At 38.9% G+C, this 25,259-nt stretch overlaps 1 protein-coding gene across 5 annotated transcripts in view, besides 1 other annotated feature; it reads right to left on the minus strand.

The window, feature by feature from the left end:
• JPH1 (junctophilin 1) overlaps window positions 385-25,259 on the minus strand; it is an 86,841-nt gene continuing 61,966 nt past the window's right edge. Inside the window, exons 3-6 of one of the 5 annotated variants that reach the window (NM_001317830.2) lie at window positions 25,070-25,188; window positions 10,214-10,860; window positions 2,893-2,988; window positions 385-2,440 (exon numbers count right to left, since the gene is read on the minus strand). In NM_001317830.2, coding sequence (NP_001304759.1) covers window positions 2,908-2,988; window positions 10,214-10,860; window positions 25,070-25,188 — 847 coding nt within the window. In that variant the 3' untranslated portion in view covers window positions 385-2,440; window positions 2,893-2,907. Of the gene's footprint in view, window positions 2,989-10,213; window positions 10,861-25,069; window positions 25,189-25,259 lie in introns of all 5 variants that reach the window. The other 4 variants (NM_020647.4, NM_001363050.1, NM_001363051.1 and 1 more) reach the window with 4 other exon arrangements.
• Window positions 17,026-17,226: a silencer, noted in NCBI's record as "peak7074 fragment used in MPRA reporter construct". NCBI's record gives its function as "represses an SCP1 promoter by STARR-seq MPRAs in K562 erythroleukemia cells {active_cell/tissue: K562}" and the evidence as "EXISTENCE:reporter gene assay evidence [ECO:0000049][PMID:32103011]".

The following is a 25,259-nucleotide window of genomic DNA, read 5'->3' on the forward strand; positions in this document are numbered from 1 at the left end:
TCATAGCAACATATTAATTTATTTGGGGCACAATGGTAAAAAAATTCTAATTAATTGAAAAGTGCCCATGTAGGAAGGAGATTTACTTCAAGTTTTCTTTAAAAATAAGAGCAGTCTTTAAACTCTGGATAAGGCACTAATCCAATTAATGAAGGCATTAAGCAGAGCAATGAACCTTATTTTGCAAAATTATTTGAAAGGCCCAGGATGAAAGAAACCAATTGGTGGAGCAGTATAACTACCTTCTGGCACATGGCTTCTTTGAGCATTTTTTCCTTCTATTTCTGCTGTTAATTTTTCAGCAGATCTCTTTCAACACCACCACCAAAGTATTCCACATAACTCAAGACAGTAATTTACTCACAAAGAAAACACACCTCCAACTTCATTAATAACCAACTTTTTTTTATTAGAGCAGATACAGTTGTGAAAACTGTACATTATACATTTTGGTTTCAAGAATTATAAATAAAGGAACTCACAGGTAGGGAGTTCTTTTTCACAGCAAGAAACTTTAAATAAACAAAGTCATGTTTTATTAAGTACATTGGCAGACTTCATGTGCTGTCCAAAATGTTGAGTACAGTATAACAACCCATTAGAAAGAGCCTTCATGTAAAATACAGCTGTGCACATTTTAGAAAAATACCAACAATTTGAGCTTTGTTTTAAAAAAGCTTATAAATCATACATATATTTATAAATGGGACCAACATGCTCACTTTATAAACATATCCTCTCGCTATCTGTTACCCATTATTTCCAAAGCATTACGCATTTTAAATGAACACTTAATAAGATTAAATATTTTATTATTATTTTTTTAAAAAACCAGCTTTCCCAGCGTAAGGAGCTATAGGGTTTGGGAGGGGCAGTGAGAGTACTGAGAGTGACGCAGGAACTTTAAACATTTGTTCTCAGGTAAAAACGGACTTCCTAAATTTAAAAGTCAAAGCAAAATGTAAAAAATGAATATACAAGTTGAAATTTTTCATTTGCTCTCTTTCTGCCTTCTTCTTTATTCCATATTGGTCACACCCAGGATTTTCAACATATTGTGCTTCTGTAAGAAACATCACTGGGTTACTACCCTGCAGGTGACAAAGCACTCAGTCCACATCTGTGCTAACCAGGGAATTGTGTGAACTGTCTCTTCTCCATTGAAAAGGTAGCTAATATGGTGTAAAAAAAAAAAAAAATCTGATTAAACCATGCAAATCATGAAAATATTTAGGAGTAGCTCCCCCTCTGCAATGTAATGTTTTATAAAGATTTAATAGATTAGATAGATATCTTTCTTCCCCTGATTTCTTTTTAAGTAATTACTTTTATAAAGACCATTTAGTTTCTATAAGTAAGCATGCTTCTGAATAACAAAGGGTAAATTATAAAACAGCAAAAATCCAGAAATGTCAGAATGACAAAAGACTGTAAAAGACACATATTTAAAATAAAAATGTCTAAGCCTTTAAAATGTGAAATGAAATTACAAAAGGACTTTGAAAAACAGGAAAGGCAGAAAACTGAGAGGCAGTGATTGAACAAGGCTTTATGTTCTACCTGAATGTATTCAACAGAAATTTAAGTTGGAAAAAGAAAACAAGAAAGAGCAGAGCAGTTTATTAATAGCATCTTGCTTAACTTTCATGGGAATTAACACAGCCACCGACAAGATTTTATTTGGTTGTAAAGTACGTCAGCAAAGAAACTGAATCCTTTAAACACTGATTACTGCAATCCATGCAACGTTTGGACTATATTTCTTAGAATTCTGTTGTGTTTCAGCTTTTAAAATTTAGCACTTCCTAAGTGCATAAATAATTCACCTCAGTAATGTTAAAAATATTTAGAATTAAATTAGTTCTTAGGAAGGCATAGTGTCTTCAAATTGCTAAATTTTAAAGATAAATAACCTTTTACAAGTATAGGAAGAATAAATGACATAAAAGATGGTATATTGCTATCAAAATAAGCACATTTTCACTAGCATTTTGTTGTTTCTTTTCCTTGAGATGCAACACGTGTGTTTCGTCCGGCCAGGACCGCAGGTGGTAGATGACTATACGTCAGATTTAAATAAACAGCAAAAATGAACAGAGTCGTGCACAAGCAAACGAAACGTTCTCTCCCAGAACATTCCAGGAGATGTTAAAGCAGCAGGTCATGGCATAAGACTGGTGAGTGATGCTGCTACCTATTTCTTCTAATGAGATAGGAGTGAATGTTGGAACCACGTCCACAGCAACACAATCCTCCGACCGCATTCCTCGGGCAGTCGTTTCCCCAGCTCCCTACTAAAAACGTCAGATGGTAAAATAGTAAGGCAGCTGTTGACTTCCATCAAAAAAAAAAAAAAAATGCAGCTCCATACATTTCCAGTTTAGTCACACTCTGCTAGGACAGATGGAGTAGCCAATGCCAAGAACTTCGCCGGATGGGGCTGCTTCAGCAGATTTTAAAAAAGAATTATTATTAAGTTTTGCTCTCCAACATGGCCGTGTGCTTCAGCTCCCAGAGGACCCCAAAGCCACAAAGCACTCCCAGGGGAACCGAACAGGTCCTCTGGCTGAATTTTCCAAGTTTCATCTCTCTCGCGATCCCATCCTAATTCCAAGCCTCCTTCCCTGTGTCTGAGTCTGCCTGGGGTGGGCCATTTAAAGGGCTGACGGCACCACTGCAGAGAACTGTGGGCTAACACACCACTAGTTGTCAGGACTTCACTGAAGGGTCAAAACAGTTATAGCAATTAAGTAACTATGTTGAATCACATTCAGGCATAGCCAAAATTAAAGTGAAGGACAATACGTCATTGTTAAAAAAAATAGCAAATTTGCATATGAGAAAAGAATGTTATTTACTATGATTTTAGATAGAAATTAAGGCGATTCTTACCTTTCCTAATTCCAATCAAGTTAGAAAGTGAACAAAAAGAATGGCCAACCCGATATTCAACAGCATGACAAGGACAATCATGATTGAATTAGGGCCCTGAAAATGAAAGAGAACAAAGTAACTATAACTTCTCCATGTTAATATCAAGATATTACCAAAGCCAATTACTGAAAAAATGAGAAAGTTAACATGATTGCAGTAAATAAGGCATAAAAGATGACAGCAGTTCGGAAAGGTGTAGACTAAAAACGGCAATGCTATGTTTAGATGGAGACATTTCAGAACCTTCACTTAAAAATGAATCCAGGCTTGAATTAGTTTAAAAACGTTTTAAACAACTGATCCACTTCATTCACCTCAAAACAATGGACAACAGCGTGTGCTGAGACACAGCTCACCCTAACAGGGCCTACGAACGGCTGGGAGTTAGACGTGCATTTGTTGTTAGAATGCAGTTCAGATGAGGAAGAGCTGCTTCCTCCACAGGGCAGTTAGAACACGAGAGCAAAATCTGTAGGACAAAGCCACCTCCAAGGAACAATTCAGGGAAAACTCAAAACGAGGTTCTCTACCTCTTGCTTTTTCCCTGGTCCTCTGTTTGGACACCACCCTTTCCGTTAAGTAAAAGCTGTAAGTGAGAAGTTGGATACTTTCAGAAGTTATCTTACAGGCCCAGCTTTTCAAATTTCTCTAATCACAACCACAACATTTCAGAAATGAAGTTATATTTTACAAACTATGGGATCCTATTTTGATAAATATCATTATAATAAATACCAGATAGTTGTCCAAGGGCCCCAAATTTTTACTTGTTTAAACAAACCAACCTCATATAACCCATCTTTTCAGATCTGCTCCATGAAGAAGCCACCTTTATTACAAAGACATGATTGTGGTATTTACTGTTAAAATAATGTCTAATTCTTATATAGCATTAAAAGTATTCTAAACTGGCTTTATGAGGTAGGTAGTTTTATTGTCCTCATTTTACAGAAGAGGAAACAGTGGTACTCCATTTGGATACTGGGTAAGACTACACTGAAACAATGTTACAGAGGCCTCAAAAGTATTGATGTTTTTTGGGTGTGGGGTAAGTGAATAATGGAGATTGGAGCTGTCATTGGTCAAACACTAATCAATTCGGGTCTAGGGTTTGGGTCACACATCATTGACTCAAGAAGGTCTCTTTCCCTGACTGAGCCCACATCTCCGTGGTAGAGGTCAGAGTGCCCTGCTCTTTCTCTATCACAAGGCGTTTCACACTTGATTATCCTTTGTTGTTTAACTGCTATTTTCCCCCACAAGACTCTGAGCTCCACAGTGGCAGGGGCCTTGTCTTATTCACTGCTATGTACCCAGTGCACAGACACGTGACATTGCCCAATTCATTCAGGCAACCAATATTTAATGAGACTCTACTATCTTCCAGCACATTTCCAAGTGCCGTGGATGTGGGTTGTTTTGTTTTGAGACAGGCTCTTGCTCTGTCACCCAGACTGGAATGCAGTGGTGTGATCTCAGCTCATCGCAGCCTTGACCTCCCAGGTTCAAGCTATCCTACCACTTCAGCTTCCTGAGTAGCTGAGACCAACAGTGCGTGCTATCAAACCTGGTTAATTTTTGTATTTTTTGTAGAGATGAGGTCTCACTATGTTGCCCAGGCTGGTCTCAACTTCCTGGCCTTAAGCGATCCTGCCACCTTGGCCTCCCAAAGTGCTGGGATTCCAGGCGTGTACCACAGTGCCTGACCCAAATGTGGGTTGTTAAACGAAATGGATTAAATCACTGAATTAAATGAAGAACAAACAGGGTGATGAGTAAAATGGGGGAGGGAGAGGAAGTAAACATGAGTCCCCTTTAAGTGGGGACTATTAGGCAGAAGAAAAGCATCAGTTCCTAAACCCCAAGTAAATGGGAGGAAAATAAACATTTTTTGCAGGTTTTTATAATGCTGGGCAGTGGGTTAAACATCTCTGAGATTTTTTTTTTTGTTTATTCTTCACAAGTGATTATTAGTTCCATTTTACAGAGCTTAAGAGGACAGGTGTCTTGCTCAAGTTTCCTCAGCCAGTTTGAACAAATTGGAACTCGAATTAAGCTTTAGTCTGGTCACTTCAGAGCTCCATGCTCTTTTCTCTATATGTCTATTAAAGATACAGGCCTTAGTTTAAAGGCAATTTCCCATTCAGTCCTTTAAAATGACATTTTCCTCTATATCCTATAATTTCCACAGTATCAGAAAAACATCAAATTGTGATAACGACCAACTGCTCTTTTAGAATAGTTGTAATTCTAAATTGATAGGAGAGTCCTAACCTGTGCAACTCCTCAATTATGGTTAATTTAGAGCATAGAAATAATGCAGAAAACTCTTATAACTCAGAAAATAGTGGAGACGATCTTTCAATGTCACAACTGAGCACAGAGATTAAGGAAATATTATTACAGGCTAAGCATCCCTTATCTGAAACACTTGGGACCCTAAGTGTTTGGGGTTTCAGATTTTCTTCTGATGTACAGGTTGAGCATCCCGAATACAAAATTCTAAAATGCTGCAATGAGAATTTCCTTTGAGCATCATGTTGGTGCTCTAAAAGTTTCAGATTCTGGAGATTTAAAAAATTTTTAATTTTTGTGGGTAACATGGTATATATGTGATATTTTGATACCAGCATAGAATGTGTAATAATCACATCAGGGTAATGAGGTATCCAACACCTAAAGCATTTATTCTTTGTGTTCCAAACAATCCAATTATACTCTTTTAGTTATTTTATTTTTTGAGGTGGAGTCTTGCTCTGTCACCCAGGCTGGAGTGCAGTGGCGCGATCTTGGCTCACCGTAACCTCTGCCTCCTGGCTTCAAGTGATTCTCCTGCCTCAGCCTCCCGAGTAGCTGGGACTACAGGTGTTCACTACGATGCCCAGCTAACTTTTATATTTTTGGTAGAGACGGGGTTTCACCATGTTGGCCAGGCTGGTCCTGAACTCCTGACCTCAAGTGATCCATCCGCCTCAGCCTCCCAAAGTGTTGGGATTACAGGTGTGGGCTACCGTGCCCAGTTCTCTTTTAGTTATTTTAAAAGGTACAATTAAATTATTATTAACTACAGTCACCCTGTTGTGCTATCAAATACTAGATCTTATTTGTTCTATTTTTTTTTTTGTATCCATTAAACATCCCCTCTTCTCCCCTACGTCTTCACTTTCCATCCAGCCTCTGGTAACCATCCTTCTACTCTCCATCTCCATGAGTGTGATCGCTTTAATTTTTAGCTCCCACAAATAAATGAGAACATGCAAAGTTTGTCTTTCTGTGCCTGGCTTCTTTCACTTCACATCATGACCAGATGTTGGAGCATTCTGGATGTTCCACCTGTACTACTACACACTTAGATTAGATTTTGTTCATGAGTGTTTTAAGAATTTTGGATCATTTCAACTATTCTGGGCTACTGGGTTTATTTTATAATTTTCAAAGGTAATTTAGTGATATGAAAGGTGAGGAAAAATACACCTGGTCAGAACAATACAACATAGACTTTGGTGTCTTACAGTGGACCCAGGAAAGTGAAATAGCAGAGAACGTGCCTTCCATGAAGCCAACTTCTAAAGTCCAAGGTGTGCCTGAACCTTAACTCCCATTTCATAAATCCATATAAGATTCTGTGAATTTATCTAACCCCTTTGAATTAGTGAGTATTTTGAATTTGTATATTCTTTTGGTTTGAATTTAGATTACTATCTTTTCTCTAGTTTTTAGCCCACATATCACTGTACTGGCAATCCAGATTCAATGAATAGTGAATGAGTGCTTTATCCAAAATGAAAAATACATACATATATATTTTTTTCTTTTGCACGCATACACACACACACATATTTCTCCTGTATATGTTCTAATATACACACACATATATATTTATCCTACCAGGGTGGCTCCACTTAGAAAGCTATTTTTAAAGGTGACTCAGTGAAGATGAGGGAAAACTAGACATGAAAGCTTCAAACAGCAACCAGGGGAAAAATAAAAATCCGGGATGCTCTGTTCAGTGGCAGATACCAAGCCCTGGCCTCTGTGTTCTTTATATACCTAGGCACAGGATATGGGGTGAAAAGCTTTAAGGTAAAGTCTCATAAATACGACTGTGGTGGCCAGTTGTAGCTTAAAATAGCAAAATGAAAAAAAAATCTGTCTTGCTTTTCAAGACTGACTGGGACAGGTGTAATACAAGAAGCTGTAGCAGGGCACAGGGTAAGTCTTGATTGGAAGAAATTTTCCAGGTGGTAAGAAAATAAAAAACAGGAAATCAAAATACAGAAAGAAATCCTAACTCAAAAAATTATCTTTTTTTCCTTTAAGAGATTGTCACTCATATTTAAAACTGTAAGGAATTTTCTGCTAGAAGAGTTACTATGGTTTATGTGAAATCTAAAGCTTCTCTAGCTAGAAACACAAGAGAAGAACAAAGTTTAATTAAGTATTAACAGCAAAGTTTAATTATATATATTTACCTCTTTCGGGGGTGAGGTTCAAACCCAATTTGATGGGGACGCTTTAAATTTTACACAAATTCAAAAGAAAGATTAGATGAACCTCAAAACAAACTTGGATGCAAATCACAGGAATGGCTGAGAAAAAAGTGTAGTCATTTTTCAGAATGGGCTGAGATACCTAATTGGAAAATTCCCCTCTTGTCTACTTGATGGTAAGACGCTAAAGATGCCTCTTCTGACCCTACCAGAGTTGTCATGTTGCAAAACTCTACAAAAATTTCGGGATCACATTGAATGCGTGCCCCTAGGACATGAGTCCATACGCAACCATTGCCCACAGGGGTCACAAAAGTTTCTTGAGGAAAATCTTCCTCAAGAAAGTAATCAATGCCACAGCCTCCCTTCTCCTACCTCTCATACTCGAGTTAACTAATTTCCTGTGTTAGTCTCCATCCCAGGAGATTTTCTGTATTTCTAGGAGATCAATAGCCAGGGTGATCCTGAGGATGGATCAGATCTACTTGAATATTTCTGAACTGCTTATGCTTCAGTTAGCATTGTGTTGAAACAAACATCATAATAGCCAAGGTTTTTTGAGCATTTATTCTGCGCTAGGCACTATGCTAAGAACTTTTAAAGTATTGACTCATTTAATCTTCACAACAACCCTGTGATAGGTACAGATGAGGAAACCAAGGCACAGAGCAGTTAGGAAACTGTCCAGGGTCACACAGCTGGTAAGCAACAGAGCTGGGATGTGAACCGAGGAAGTTCAGCAACAGAGTTCAATTCTGTGAATTTTAAAATTATTCACGAATGTCTAACTTATACAGTGTCTTTCTCTCAAAACTATGTAGTACTCCATTATCTTAAAGGTCATCCACTGACAACATTTATGATGACTGTGCCACTTCCTAACTCTGAGGAGTGGGGACGGCAGCGTTCTGTTACTATTGGGAAGACAATGTTAATTATTAGAATCTTCGCGTGAAGGTGTCAAGTCGGTCTTGAATTTTGCAGAGGCAGTCTAAAGCTCAGGGTAGCTGCGGAGCTGCTGGGGCTTCCCTTCCCCCTTGGGGTGTAGAGGGGTACCCTAAGGACCAACTACTGAGATGGAGGATGCTTGTCTAACTCCAAGAATCTGAGAATTCCGCAAATAAGTAAAACAGATGTTTTTTCTAAATGAGGAGGCTGTGAATTTACCAAACATACGTATACTACTGTTTTACAGAGAGACTCTTTCAGCTAAGAGCTGGGTAATTCAACTTTTTTTTCCCCCTATCACAGCCTAATGTATAGGACGCTGGGGCATACACTTCCCCTTGTAGAAGTCTAGAAGTCAACTAAAGCCCACAAATGGGTACCCAAAGGTATAAAAGGTATGGCCTTGCATTGTTTGAATTTTTCCCTGTGTAAATCAGGCAAACTAACACTGATATATGCGAGGCCTTATTAACCTGGGGATAAACATGCTGAAAGTCAAATGAGAAGTAAGCTATTACATTTAACAAATTCAATAGTGATTATTATAGTTGTAATGTCAAGATACTGTCATATTAAGGTTTAAAATCTTTAAAATGAATGCTTACTGAAGAGTCAGAATCTTAAAGTTAGTCTGTTTTGAAAACAATTTTTCTCCATGCAGGTGGACTCCTAGGAAGTTGGTCCAGTTAATCTGAATAATTTATGTTTAGCTAATTAAAAAGTTGAAAATTTGAAAAAAGAAGAGAACCAGTGTTTTATAGATATTAGCAAAATAAACACACAAGAAATTTTAAGCATAAGTTAACAGAGGAATTTTAATTGTTTAATCCTGTGAGTAAATCAAACAGACAAAAATAAGAAACTGATGGCTGTACTATATTCTTGTTGGCCAAGATATTAATCCACACCATTATGCAAATATGTCTCTATAATTTCTAGTGAATACTAGGTGTGTAACTTTCAACACCTCTGTTCTAAAGGGATGTGATCAGGTCAAGAGGTCATTTTTTAATCAATAATTAGCTTCAGATTTTATAAATACTATAGCATTTGATAAAACACTAATTCCATACATTATTCAAAAAATCTCCTTTTAAAGAAGGTATAAAGATTTTTCAATAACACAGAGCTTTTCTGGCTGAATAATAAATAAATATCTTAAATGCTTAAGACTAATTGATACTAATAACCTGCATCTACCAGAAAACTGAAATTGTAAGAGTTCTCACACTTTGAAAAGACAGAAGACCAAAGAAATTCTCTTGAACTGTTGGAAATTTTCAGTTCTCTTTTGGGAAAGAAAAATGTTCTAGCTGCAAAGCCTGGCTAATTAAAGTCCAAACTACGTATGTATGAGAAGAATTCACAACGGCTAGAGGAGACGTTCTTTTGTGTAAAGATGCTGACCGCTGTGGTGAAAACAGGAGAACTAAGAACTTGTTGGTGCCCTTTTCCTAGAGCTCTGAGAGCGGCTGGCCCTTGGCAGGGGTCATGATTCCTTTCCAGCAATCAGAGAGCAAGCTACCAGGAAGCTCACCAAGACACGCTGTTAAAGCCTTGCTAAAATGTGCTAAGATGCTGTGCTAAGCTGGTCAGGTCTTACCTACCTGAATTACATCTAAAGTGGGGCTGGGTGAACATAGGGGTGGTGGGGGGAATTTCTGCCCAGAGAGCTCTTTGCTGTCTCAAGCTACCAATGTGTTATGTGCTGCTCTAAACAACCCTGTGCTTCTAGAACCTTGGTTAGCCTGGCTGTGATCAAGATGCACAGTCACCCCACACAGCTCGCTGAAAGAAACAAAGGGAAGAAAGAAAGAGAAAACGCTACTTGCAGTACTTACTGAATTGGCTTCTTTTTCCAAAGCAGGGCATGAATCGTTGCTTGCTGGATTCTTTGGTATAGCAAGTTCAGACTTCTTAGCTTTTGGCTCAGCTTTGCTTTCTTTGGCAACTGGTTTTGTCACAGATTTGGAGGGACTCCACTTGTTAGCGGATGGCTTGTGCACCAGTGCTGAGGAAGACTGGCTGGATCCATCGCCGTCCTCCACGTCTACTGGAGGGTGCTGGGGGGCGTTCAGCTTCACGTAGTAGCCGTGATACTGAGAATGCAGCTCCCCGTTACTGGGGTTGGGGATGTGGTGGCGGCCAGAGTACTTGGACTGGGGCACAACCGCTCCTGCCTCCTTCGTGGGAGCCTTTGACATCAAGGGCTTATTGACAATGGCCGTCACCTGCTCATCAGCCACACTCCTTTTGTCTTGGTTGAGTCTCGCCCCTGAGCTGGGGTTTTGCTTCTTCAGGGGCTTTGGGGAGGAAGCAGGAGAGTGGCTGTGTTTGGGACTTGCCTCAGGAGATCTTGGGGGTGTCGTGCCTTTGCGATAAAAATGAGGAGACTCCTTTGGTGTAGGTGGCTTTTCTGGTACCTTTTCTTCTGGATTTTCTTTAGCATCTACACCTTCCTGAAATCTCTGTTTGACGTAATCAGGGCCTGGCCAAAAAAAAAAGAAAAAAGAAAAAAAGAAAGGAGGTATATATACATATATTTTGCTAAATCAGATTAACCTTTTCTCTTTTAAAAATAATATATTCATAAGGCTTTGACTAAACACATATTTCATTCTCTGGGGAAAAGTTTATTTATTATGGAAAGGCTGCTTTTAAGATAATACAGAATCTAAACAGTTCTGGCTTCCCTGATAATTGCATTCTTTCTGCCTACTTGCAGAATACAGAGGCAAAATTCATGTTGATGGAACATTGGTCGCAATATCATAATTAATCTGCTTGTTCAAATTATGTGGTGTAACTAAGACACAGAAAGTGTATACTTGTACAAGGAAGTAAGCTGACTACTGTAAGCATCTGAAAATTTAATAAAGTATACTGTAAGAGGAGAACCTGTAGATAACATATTTTTAATGATCTGTCATCAAACATGCACTAAAACTTCCTAGTTTGAAACAATTTCTGAGGCTTAGGTTGCACGACACAAAGTCACTTCCATGTAGTCCATTCACAGCTATGGAAAACACGGATTTGCACAAGCAGTGTTTTGCAGGTATCAAAGTCAAGACAAGGCAGTTGTCTCTGGTTCTGTAGCTTCAAGATTTTTTTTTTCCTTTTTTATATACCTCAGGATTGTTTATAAAAATCTTGTTACTTTTTTATAAATGGGAACAAATTTTCATTAAAAAAGAGGCTATTCTTCTGACAGAGGAGGAAAAAATGAAAAAAAAAAAAAAAAAGTGGCCCTGCTGCATTGTTATTTTACAGGGAGTGAGCTATAAAGAAACAGAGTGTGTGCCACAAAATGTCCAGGCCCTGGGAACTCGAGGAGGCTGTGGTCTGGAAAGGGGCATCTCTGGGCTGAGACAGAGACCTTAGACTTCTAGGGCCTTCAGCTCTCAGCAAGTCATGTGCGTACTTTGGCTACCACTCCACCCATCTGCCACTTTTCGCCTCATAAGGTGAGGTCAAGGTCACATGCAGTGCAACTGACCCTCTTCCTCACAAATGGGCAGAAGCTGACAATGTCTCTTGAGTATACATGGAAGACACTGCCCCCACCGACATGCTTATAGAGAGTTGACAGGCTCTTGTCAATTCCACAACACTGCATCTGTTCATTTTCCTTCCTGCCTTCTACCCCCAACCCTTCACCCCAGACAAACTCACTAACTCACTAAAAGATTTACAGAGGGACTGAACAGCAATTATCCTTAATTGTGAAACTACATACTGCACACTTACACTTGTAATTGCTCTTCCCATGGTGGTCTGAGTAATAAGTTATTGTAATGAGGCTGCTATTTAATTATACAAGGAATTTTCCAAAATTTAAAGCCTCACCAAAATCTTAGGGAGTAGGTGTTATTATCCCCATTTTACTGAAAGGGAAACAGCTATAGCAACTGAAAAAAAAATCACATAGCTCCCATTATCTTTTCAGAAAAAAACATAATGCAACACATAATATTTTAAAGCCAGAGACAAGAATTCCTGAGCACCCACCATCGCAAGTTATACTCAGGGCACAAAACATAATAGTATTATCACAGTTTCCACCTTCTAGAAGATACATCCACTCCTGGGGATTCAAGTTTCCCAAATTTGTCAAGATCGCACATGGACAATTGAGACTTCCTTTCTAAACTGGGTAAGCTCCCCCTTTACATAACTGACAATTTTCTTTTAATTCCTCCATCAAAAATGGCAATGTTAATTCTTAGGCCAGTGAAAGTTATTTTGAATGACAAAAAGCAGCAACTGCAAGCATTCAAAAGGCGATGTCCTTCTGTTTCTGAATTCTTTCTTGGTGCTGTGTGTCTGGACATAGCATTAAGGGGAAAAAGGGCAGCATGAGCACAAAAAAGTTATCTTTCATCAGCTGAACTGTCCCTGCTCTTTAAAACTCATCAGGTCATTGATACTAGTCTGTCATGGAGAAGCCCCTTGTGATTCACCTGCAGGCATATTTTAACAAAACCCCTCTTCTTCTGTGATAAAGTATATTCTCTAATACATCTTGATGCAGTGTGATGTTTACATACTTTTCCCTCACTTCTCTACCCAAAATTTCACTATGGTTGGTTTTATTTGTGCTTTACTGATATTCAACTTCATAGCATTACTAAAATACCCATCTAGGTATGGTAGTGGATGTACTTTGCAAAGATAATTAAAATAGTCAAGGGCCTTGGAGCCAACGGACTTTTAATTTAAGCCACTTAATGCTGAAACAATTACATAAAATACAAAGTGCTTTTAACATCTTTGATCTAAAGATAAATGCAAGTTATTTTTGCATAGAAAAATTGCCAATATCTACTAAGATTAAGGCACATTAAAAGCTAATGTTTAACTTAAATATACAGAAAAGAGTGAAAAAATAGACTCTGGCAAACATTTTTCGTTATGCATTCTCAAAGTTGGAGGGAAAAGGTAAAGAGTCACTGCGCCCTGAGAAATGAAGCTGTCACAAAGCCCATGCATTTCACTTAGAAGATGTAAGACCATGAGATTGTAGCTTACAAATTTAGGATTTAAATCTTTGTGATGCCCTCGTCACAAAAAAATGTCATTTTTTTGAGGTGATAAATAGGTTAATTAGCTTGATTTAATCATTCCATATTGTATTAAGAAATTGTAACATCACTTTGTACTTCATAAATATATACAACTATAACTTATCAATATATACATTAAAAACATTAGGATGTATCCTAGTGACCTTCAGCACCATCAGTATAGGTGGATAGGCCAAGGTGAGACTGATTTGGCCGTTGGAATAATTTGTATTAATGAACTTATGAAGCTAAATTTTGGATTCCATTGAAAGTATTTCTTATGATATTTATCAACTCTCAAATACTGGTCTAATCACTTCTTTAACCTTTAGAAATCTGATGTGTCACCTCTTTGGACACAGTTTTCTTGTCCTAAATGCAGTAAGAAAGGCATGTCTTACATGATTACTCATGCCCACTCTGCTAAGATGAGTTTAGGTATACTCACTCAAATTGATCTACAGGGCTTCTGATGATACTCAAAAATGATGAGCTCAAAGAATTTACTAGAATGGTGGAAGTACATTTTAGCATCAACTTTCACATTTAAAAAATTCCTAGCTTTATTATGCATTCAAAAAATATCTGGGTAAGGGAAAAAATGCACTCCTAAGCAGGGGCGCCTATGCTTGCTGCCTATCAGAGCATCTGAGGTGTTATGGCCAGATATTTTAATAAGTATGAATTGAAGCCTAGAAATATTAATGTTTAACAAATGATCCGAGTGATTCTAACGCACTGGGTTATAGGCATTTGACACTATGCTAGCAATATGTTGATACTGCTTGCATTGATTGGTTATATTGCTTGGTTCATATGTCCATAGCACCAGCCTTACATGACTACATCCTGTTGGAAATGGTTCCAACGTGGCACAGTCATACAAGTCCTAGCCAACTAAATGAGGATATACAGTTAGATTTTCCAGAGGAAGATTAAATGCTTTTAAAACAAGACGTTTAATATAATGCAGAAGACAGAAGTTTTTCCTGGACTATTTTCTCTTGGAAGGCACATGTTGTGCCTGCTACTTGTTCTGTGTAGTAAATGTGTGTCAGCATTGCAGAGCCAGCAACATAAAGTTGATGAGATGCAGCGGTTCATTAAAAAGACTAGTCAGAATATTGCCAGGGAGGGAAATTATGACAAATGTTGATAGTTGTTGCAGTCAGCATTTTCATCTGTTTTTATAGACAGTATCTATGAATCCCAAAGGATTTTCTCCCCCTGGAGACTCATATTGGGAAGAAGTCAGATACAGGTCACCCGCTCACGGACATGGCTGCCACACAATGTGAAAAAAGAAACAACATTCAGCATGCCATCCACCAACACTCAAAGGTTACTCGTTACAGTTGGCACGAAGGCTCTGAACAGATATGGCAGATGGTGGCAGCAGGGTATCCAGCTAGTTCTTCAGAGGTGAGCCTCGGTGGGCTGGCTATGGGCAGAAGCACCATAAAGATTCCCCAAAACAAATTTCTATGAGGGCAGTGCCAATATCAAATGCTTTGTAGCAACAGCAGTAGTCATTAAGTAGAAATTAGACATTTTCTGTGGAGACTGACAATCAGTGAAAAGAGGACCAGATTGAAAGAGTCTAAAAAAATTGTGTAACTGGTAGCAGGATCACTTTTTGTGTTCAATATAGAAAGAACACTCCTTTCCTATAGGACTTCACAGTCCCGTCTATAACAATCCTGCAATTTCTGTGACCACAGCCATAGTGCTCTGGTCTGCAAACTGTGGGACATCCTTTCTAGTACCCTGCACTTGGCTGGCACTCAATACCCATTTGTGAAACTGAATGTACTGGAATGAATACGTGGTATGAGTAACCAGCAAACTCATGAATTATTAATTTCATGTCAACTAGTGGATTATTCAGTTTCCCTTTTTAATGAAAAAATTTATTCATAATTTTGGGTTTGGAAGGTGAGCTTAGAAGTCATCTATTCCAGGATGCTTCCCTTTTCTTAACCAAATCCATGACATATTAATGATAGGCCTAGACTATTATGTAATGGAGCTATGCTTTGATTTCTGAAGTCTTCTAATTCATACCAGAAATGCAAGCTTAGTTAACACTGGTCCATAATAACCTGTGCTAAAGACTTCACTCTAAATAATTGATGCACTGTGTGTATGAGTACATTTATGCTTAAACATGTGAAGACAAAGCTCGTTGGGGATGATACCCAGAGAAGCAGGCTGGCTCTCTCCCAAGAGGGCTCCAAGTACTAAATTTACCACATTCCAGGGCAGTGTTTTAATTTCTTTAACTCATGCTCAGCCCCTGCCTCCATCAATAAATACAAAAATTTTACATGCTACTTAATATCACTTGAAATTAAAAACAAAATGAATCTCTCGACTAAAAGGATTTTTTTTTTTTTTTTGAGACGGAGTCTTGCTCTGTCACCCAGGCTGGAGTAAGTGGCACCATCCTGGCTCACTGCAACCTCTGCCTCTCAGTTCAAATGATTCTCATGCCTCAGCCTCCCAAGTAGCTGGGATTACAGGCATGTACTACCAGGCCCAGCTAATTTTTGTATTTTTAGTGGAGATGGGGTTTCACCATGTTGGTCAGGCTGGTCGTGAACTCCTGGCCTCACATGATCTGCCCGCTTTGGCCTCCCAGAGTGCTGGGATTACAGGCATGAGCCACTGTGCCTAGCCTAAAAAGAAACTGAAACAGTGGGAGAAAGAGCCACAAATCTAGTCTCCCAATCTTCCTTTCCAGGAAGGGGCAGGGCCCCGGTCCCCCCTGCTTCCTCAGTGGTTACCCTCTAAAGCAAGCTTGTACAACCCGTGGCCCAACACAAATTCATAAACTTTTCTTAAAACATTATGAGATTTTTTTGGTGATTTTGTTTTAGCTCCTCAGCTATCATTAGTGTTAGTGCATTTTATGTGTGGCCCAAGACAATTCTTCTTCTTCTTATGTGGCCCAGGGAAGCCAAAAGATTGGACACCCTTGCTCTAAAGCCTATGTCACCCTTGCTGGCATAGAAACCTGATTTTACCAGCACTTTGAAGCAGAGCCATCCCTTGGGGCAGACTCACATTACCAAAGCTCACCAGACTGACGTACAATCCTAGAAGGCCAATTTACTAGTTTACAATGAGCAATGTAAATGTCACATAGGTCAGGGGACTCATGCTGATACTACCAGTACATGCTCTCCTTGTTGGCAGAACTCCATGGAAAGCTCAGCCAAAATTAGAAAGTTACTGGTGAACATGGAATCAGAACAAGAAGCATGAGCTGAATCAAATACGTAATGGCATCAAGCTGGGCTAGCCTGATACATCCATTTCCTGAATCAGGGTGATCTTGCCAGTAAAGCCATATACCATGGCCATAGTTCCCTGCATCCTTCCCCATAATAGAAACGTCCTTGCCAATGTGAGAGCAGTCTTCCAAGGTTCTGGCTCAGGCTTCTCCTCCTCTGGACAGTGTTGGGATGAACACTGCCAATTTTTGCCTCTGTGACTCTTTTTTCTATACTTCCTTGGGTGACCAATTTTTCTTTAGATGTTTTTATAACCCAATCAGGTTACAAGGAAATCCTGTGGTTCTTAAAGCCATCCTATTACTTAGGATCACCTGATCTACCTTTGTGTAGTTTCAGGGACTCATTTTCAAGCTGAACTCTCAGAGGGCAATCTTCTAAGTTCTTGGGGGATGACTCACTGTGTCACTCCCACTAATGGCAATTTAGGTTTCTGTGCATGTACACAGTTATCTATATACACATTCACAAACATCCATTTGTATGCTTTCGGTTTATTAGAGCTTAACCCTTTGGGGGAGAAAGCCATCCCACATGGCTTTGTTTTTTTCTTTAATGACAAAAGTTATTATTTTATTTAAAATTTTTTTGATTAATCTACATATAATCTACTAGCAACCTTTTTTTCTACTTCTTGCTTTTATAATCAAGAGGCTATGTTTTTTCTTTAGTTTCTAACTGAATTGTAGAATAATACAGTTTTTTAAAATAGATTCAATGCCATCCCCATCAAGCTACCAATGACTTTCTTCACAGAATTGGAAAAAACTACTTTCAAGTTCATATGGAACCAAAAAAGAGCCTGCATTGCCAAGTCAATCCTAAGCCAAAAGAACAAAGCTGGAGGCATCACGCTACCTGACTTCAAACTATACTACAAGGCTACAGTAACCAAAACAGCATGGTACTGCTACCAAAACAGAGACATAGACCAATGGAACAGAACAGAGCCCTCAGAAATAATGCCACACATCTACAACTATCTGATCTTTGACAAACCTGACAAAAACAAGAAATGGGGAAAGGATTCCCTATTTAATAAATGGTGCTGGGAAAACTGGCTAGCCATATGTAGAAAGCTGAAACTGGACCCCTTCCTTACACCTTATACAAAAATTAATTCAAGATGGATTAAAGACTTACATGTTAGACCTAAAACCATAAAAACCCTAGAAGAAAACCTAGGGAATACCACTCAGGACACAGGCATGGGCAAGGACTTCATGACTAAAACACCAAAAGCAATGGCAACAAAAGCTAAAACTGACAAATGGGATCTATTTAAACTAAAGAGCTTCTGCACAGCAAAAGAAACTACCATCAGAGTGAACAGGCAACCTACCGAATGGGAGAAAATTTTTACAATCTACTCATCTGACAAAGGGCTAATATCCAGAATCTAGAAAGAACTCAAGGCTAGGAAGAAACTGCATCAACTAATGAGCAAAATAACCAGCTAACATCATAATGACAGGATCAAATTCACACATAACAATACTAACCTTAAATGGAAATGGGCTAAATGCTCCAATTGAAAGGCACAGACTGGCAAATTGGATAAAGAGTCAAGACCCATCAGTGTGCTGTATTCAGGAAACCCATCTCACGTGCAGAGACACACATAGGCTCAAAATAAAGGGATGGAGGAAGATCTACCAAGCAAATGGAAAACAAAACAAAGGCAGGGGTTGCAATCCTAGTCTCAGATAAAACAGACTATAAACCAACAAAGATCAAAAGAGACAAGGCCATTACATAATGGTAAAGGGATCAATTCAACAAGAAGAACTAACTATCCTAAATATATATGCACCCAATACAGGAGCACCCAGATTCATAAAGCAAGTCCTTAGTGACCTAGAAAGAGACTTAGACTCCCACACAATAATAATGGGAGACTTTAACACCCCACTGTCAACATTAGACAGATCAACGAGACAGAAAGTCAACAAGGATACCCAGGAATTGAACTCAGCTCTGCACCAAGCAGATCTAATAGACATCTACAGAACTCTCCACCCCAAATCAACAGAATATACATTCTTTTCAGCATCACACCACACCTATTCCAAAATTGACCACATAGTTGGAAGTAAAGCTCTCCTCAGCAAATGTAAAAGAACAGAAATTATAACAAACTATCTCTCAGACCACAGTGCAATCAAACTAGAACTCAGGATTAAGAAACTCACTCAAAACCGCTCAACTACATGGAAACTGAACAACCTGCTCCTAAATGACTACTAGGTACATAACGAAATGAAGGCAGAAATAAAGATGTTCTTTGAAACCAGTGAGAACAAAGACACAATATACCAGAATCTCTGGGACACATTCAAAGCAGTGTGTAGAGGGAAATTTATAGCACTAAATGCCCACAAGAGAAAGCAGGAAAGATCTAAAATTGACACCCTAACATCACAATTAGAAGAACTAGAGAAGCAAGAGCAAACACATTCAAAAGCTAGCAGAAGGCAAGAAATAACTAAAATCAGAGCAGAACTGAAGGAAATAGAGACACAAAAAACCCTTCAAAAAATTAATGAATCCAGGAGCTGGTTTTTTGAAAAGATCAACACAATTGATAGACCGCTAACAAGACTAATAAAGAAGAAAAGAGAGAAGAATCAAATAGACGCAATAAAAAATGACAAAGGGGATATTACCACTGATCCCACAGAAATACAAACTACCATCAGAGAATACTATAAACACCTATACACAAATAAACTAGAAAATCTAGAAGAAATGGATAAATTCCTTGACACAAACACTCTCCCAAGACTAAACCAGGAAGAAGCTGAATCTCTGACTAGACCAATAACAGGAGCTGAAATTGAGGCAATAATTAATAGCTTACCAACCAAAAAAAGTCCAGGACCAGATGGATTCACAGCCGAATTCTACCAGAGGTACAAGGAGGAGCTGGTACCATTCCTTCTGAAACCATTCCAATCAATAGAAAAAGAGGGAATCCTCCCTAACTCATTTTATGAGGCCAGCATCATCCTGATACCAAAGCCAGGTAGAGAAACAACCAAAAAAGAGAATTTTAGACCAATATCCTTGATGAACACTGATGCAAAAATCCTCAATAAAATACTGGCAAACCGAATCCAGCAACACATCAAAAAGCTTATCCACCATGATCAAGTGGGCTTCATCCCTGGGATGCAAGGCTGGTTCAACATACGAAAATGAATAAACGTAATCCAGCATATAAACAGAACCAAAGACAAAAACCACATGATTATCTCAATAGATGCAGAAAAGGCCTTTGACAAAATTCAACAACTCTTCATGCTAAAAACTCTCAATAAATTAGGTATTGATGGGATGTATCTCAAAATAGTAAGAGCTATGTATGACAAACCCACAGCCAATATCATACTGAATGGGCAAAAACTGGAACCATTCCCTTTGAAAACTGGCACAAGACAGGGATGCCCTCTCTCACCACTCCTATTCAACATAGTGTTGGAAGTTCTGGCCAGGGCAATCAGGCAGGAGAAAGAAATAAAGGGCATTCAATTAGGAAAAGAGGAAGTCAAATTGTCCCTGTTTGCAGATGACATGATTGTATATCTAGAAAACCCCACTGTCTCAGCCCAAAATCTTCTTAAGCTGATAAGCAACTTCAGCAAAGTCTCAGGATACAAAATCAATGTACAAAAATCACAAGCATTCTTATACACCAATAACAGACAAACAGAGAGCCAAATCATGAGTAAACTCCCATTCACAATTGCTTCAAAGAGAATAAAATACCTAGGAATCCAACTTACAAGGGATGTGAAGGACCTCTTCAAGGAGAACTACAAACCACTGCTCAATGAAATAAAAGAGGACACAAACAAATGGGAGAACATTCCATGCTCATGGGTAGGAAGAATCAATATCGTGAAAATGGGCATACTGCCCAAGGTAATTTATAGATTCAATGCTGTCCCCATCAAGCTACCAATGACTTTCTCCACAGAATTGGAAAAAACTACTTTCAAGTTCATATGGAACCAAAAAAGAGCCTGCATTGCCAAGTCAATCCTAAGCCAAAAGAACAAAGCTGGAGGCATCACGCTACCTGACTTCAAACTATACTATAAGGCTACAGTAACCAAAACAGCATGGTAGTGGTACCAAAACAGAGATATAGACCAATGGAACAGAACAGAGCCCTCAGAAATAATGCTGCATATCTACAACTATCTGATCTTTGACAAACTTGACAAAAACAAGAAATGGGGAAAGGATTCCCTATTTAATAAATGGTGCTGGGAAAACTGGCTAGCCATATGTAGAAAGCTGAAACTGGATCCCTTCCTTACACCTTATACAAAAATTAATTCAAGATGGATTAAAGACTTACATGTTAGACCTGAAACCATAAAAACCCTAGAAGAAAACCTAGGCAATACCATTCAGGACATAGGCATAGGCAAGGACTTCATGTCTAAAACACCAAAAGCAATGGCAACAAAAGCCAAAATTGACAAATGGGATCTAATTAAACTCAAGAGCTTCTGCACAGCAAAATAAACCACCATCAGAGTGACTAGGCAACCTACAGAATGGGAGAAAATTTTTGCAACCTACTCATCTGACAAAGGGCTAATATCCAGAATCTACAATGAACTCAAACAAATTTACAAGAAAAAAACAACCCCATCAAAAAGTGGGTGAAGGATATGAACAGACACTTCTCAAAAGAAGATATTTATGCAGCCAAAAAACACATGAAAAAATGCTCATCATCACTGGCCATCAGAGAAATGCAAATCAAAACCACAATGAGATACCATCTCACACCAGTTAGAATGGCGATCATTAAAAAGTCAGGAGACAACAGGTGCTGGAGAGGATGTGGAGAAATAGGAATACTTTTACACTGTTGGTGGGACTGTAAACTAGTTCAACCATTGTGGAAGTGGGTGTGGCGATTCCTCAGGGATCTAGAACTAGAAATACCATTTGACCCAGCCATTCCATTACTGGGTATATACGCAAAGGATTATAAATCATGCTGCTATAAAGTCACATGCACACGTATGTTTATTGCAGCACTATTGACAATAGCAAAGACTTGGAACCAACCCAAATGTCCAACAATGATAGACTGGATTAAGAAAATGTGGCACATATACACCGTGGAATACTATGCAGCCATAAAAAATGATGAGTTCATGTCCTTTGTAGGGACATGGATGAAGCTGGAGACCATCATTCTCAGCAAACTATCACAAGGACAAAAAACCAAACACCGCATGTTCTCACTCATAGGTGGGAATTGATCAATGAGAACACATGGACACAGGAAGGGGAACATCACACACCGGGGCCTATCATGGGGTGGGGGGAAGGGGGAGGGATAGCATTAGGAGATATACCTAATGCTAAATGACGAGTTAATGGGTGCAGCACACCAACATGGCACATGTATACATATGTAACAAACCTGCACGTTGTGCACATGTACCCTAAAACTTAAAAAAAAAAAAAAGAACTCAAACAAATTTACAAGAAAAAAACAACCCCATCAACAAGTGGGCGAAGGATATGAACAGACACTTCTCAAAAGAAGACATTTATGCAGCCAAAAGACACATGGAAAAAAGCTCATCATCACTGTTCATTAGAGAAATGCGAATCAAAACCACAATGAGATGTCATCTCACACCAGTTAGAATGGCGATCATTAAAAAGTCAGGAAACAACAGAATAATGCAGTTTTAAACTAAACAACATAAGATTTAATTAAGATGGAAAATATCTGAAAATACTGCCAGCTCCTGAAAATAGGTAATTTGCCATGGAAGCGTTCAACATGTAAGCTATGACAGGCATCTTTTATTCCAGGGTTAACAACTTCTATGCACGAACACATGCATTCCAAACAATGGAGACTTTTATATCTGAGATATGTAAATTAAATGGCCAGCCTAATTTAGAAGTACTTGAAAGCCCTTTTCGAAAATGTCTATCTGATTTGCTCACCCTGTAAATGCAAAGTGGAGAGCATGAGTTATGCTCCCTTAAGAAGATCAATAATACCCGCGACAGAAAAGGCTTTCTATACAGTTGCTGAAGAAAGTGCTGGCTGTGTGTCAAAGGGGACTGCAGCCTCCCCGACAAGCTCTGGTCTCAAATAGACCCGCTGTCGTCCATGCTACTGTGATGTATTCATTCCTGACGGACAACTTGCTTATATGAAGCTGTTTTAGCTAAGAAAGGGTGGCATTACATTTTCCCACAATATTTTTTTTCCCTTCAAATGCTTTTACACCAGAAAAGGCTTTTAAAACCATTCAGTCTGGGAAACCAAGATGATCTTTCGTATCATTTACCTCTTGTTAACACCTGATAGAAATCTAAAGGGACCCCATTCCCCAACAGAATTAACAGAACCAAGAAATTACCATCTGCAGACAACAGTAAGTTTGTTTGCTTTCAAAGCCGCTCAAGCCCAGTGCCTCCTGATCAGTCAGGTTCTTTCCAATGGCAGCACTGCTAGGGAGGAGAGAACAATTTCTCCTGGGTGGCTGAACCCTTTTCCCAGCTCTCACGCCCTGGAACAGCTAATTTGCCAATATACGTAGGTACCAGGGAAGTATGAGTTCATTTCACGCCAGAGGAGAGTTTATTCCTACCAGAGGTCGCTGCAAAAAATGGAAAGGTTCCTTTTCCTAAAAATTGCATATATATAAAAAATGATTTAAATCTCAACCAGAGGTTTAAAAGAGATGCGTGTGAAAGAAAATACCCTTCTCAGTGGTTGCCTTGGACTTGAACTCTTAGAGAAGTCACTCTGTGATGATGATATCTATCATTCAACAACCACCTTGGGTCCCTCCCCAGCCTTTCTCTTATAAAAACCGAATCTTCTTTGCCTGGCCTTTTACTGTCTTCTTTCTTTGCAGGAACCTCCTGCCCCCATTCTCCAGGTCATTTCTCATTGCTCCATCCTTGATTATAGCCAAGTTTCTAGCTTTTCTACAAATCTTGCTATTTTGTTCACTTTGACTTACATCGTTCGTTAGGACTCAGTGATACCCTGTGGGTTCCGACAGCGTATACCCCTCACCAGAGCCAAACATGAATCGAACACCTACCTCATGCAGGGTGCTGGGCTAGGGACAGGATGCTAGTTATACAGCTTGATTTAATAAAAACCAGTGTGGAAAAATCCTTTACCAAGAAATGTAACTTTTAACATAAATTGAAAACATTTATTTTGGTTTCTTCACCTAGAAATCTGTTGATGCCTCAAACAATCACGGAGAATATATATAAATAGGTGAATATTGCCTTTTTGAAACTCAAAACAAAAACACTAGTATATTATAGAGAGGGGTAGAAAGAGTCTACTAGGAAACTACTAGAAAGTGAATTAAGAATTTAAACTATTGCAAATATTTGTTGATTGCTATTTTGTAACATCTGAGAGGCAGATGACCAAGATCGATTTTTTTGAGGTTGTCACTTTTATTTCTTCCATTGTGACATGCATTTTCCTCTTACTCTGTGCAGATTAATCTCTTTAAGTGGTATGCTGCTATACTTCCTAACCACAGTCCTTTGAACTTTGAACTTTAGTTCAGATACGTTAAAAAAAAGTCACAGTACTGACTGGCTCTTCTCTTACTACTAAAAGTGCCTCTGAATTTGGGGGTATTTGTTATAGAATCTGTAGCTGTCACTAAAATAATTTCTTAGAATCAGATATTTTAGATTCTTGTCTAGTTTACTGCTATCAGCTCAAACTTTGTTGGTCATATGTAGAGGGGAGGAAGGGTGAGACTCTGGGGAATAACCCATCTCCAGGGCTAACACTCAGACCTCGGGTGATATTTGTTACTACAAGTTGAACATTCCTAATCCAAAAATCTGAAATGCTCCAGAATCCAAAACATTGTGGGCACCGACACGATGCTACAAGTGGAAAATTCCACATGACCGATGGTCACAGTCAAAATGCAGTCAAAACTTTGTTCCATGTGCAAAATTATTAAAAATATACTATAAAATTACCTCCAGGCTATGTGTATAAGGTATCTATGAAACATAAATGAATTTCGTGTTTCAACTTGGGTTCCCAGCTCAAGAGATCTCACTGTGTACATGCAAATACAGAAAAATATCAACAAATCTGAAATCTGAAACACTTCTGGTCCCAAGCACTTCAGATGAAGGATCCTCAACCGCAGGCGCCCTTGCTTGTTTTGTATAATAGTACTGCTGGGATTCAGGAAGCACACATCTTTATGTTGAAAGGAAAAGGAAATAAAAGCAAGCCAAAGCCAGTGCTCCTGCCTCACCCATCAAAGGAGCACTGTTTTACCTGGTTGGTAGAAATCAGGTGACAGCTCCCTGGCCACAGCTCTCGCGATGTCGCACTCCTGGCGAGCGGCCAGCGCGGCCTGGTCGGCGGCATCGGCCTTCGCTCTGGCATGTGCAGTCCTACACGGGGCACAAAAGGACGAGTCAGCATAGGTGACCCCTTGTTACTTACACAGGGACAAGCAAATTGT

This window comes from Homo sapiens, chromosome 8 (genome assembly GCF_000001405.40).
Source record: "Homo sapiens chromosome 8, GRCh38.p14 Primary Assembly".
In the NCBI taxonomy this organism is placed as follows: domain Eukaryota; kingdom Metazoa; phylum Chordata; class Mammalia; order Primates; family Hominidae; genus Homo; species Homo sapiens.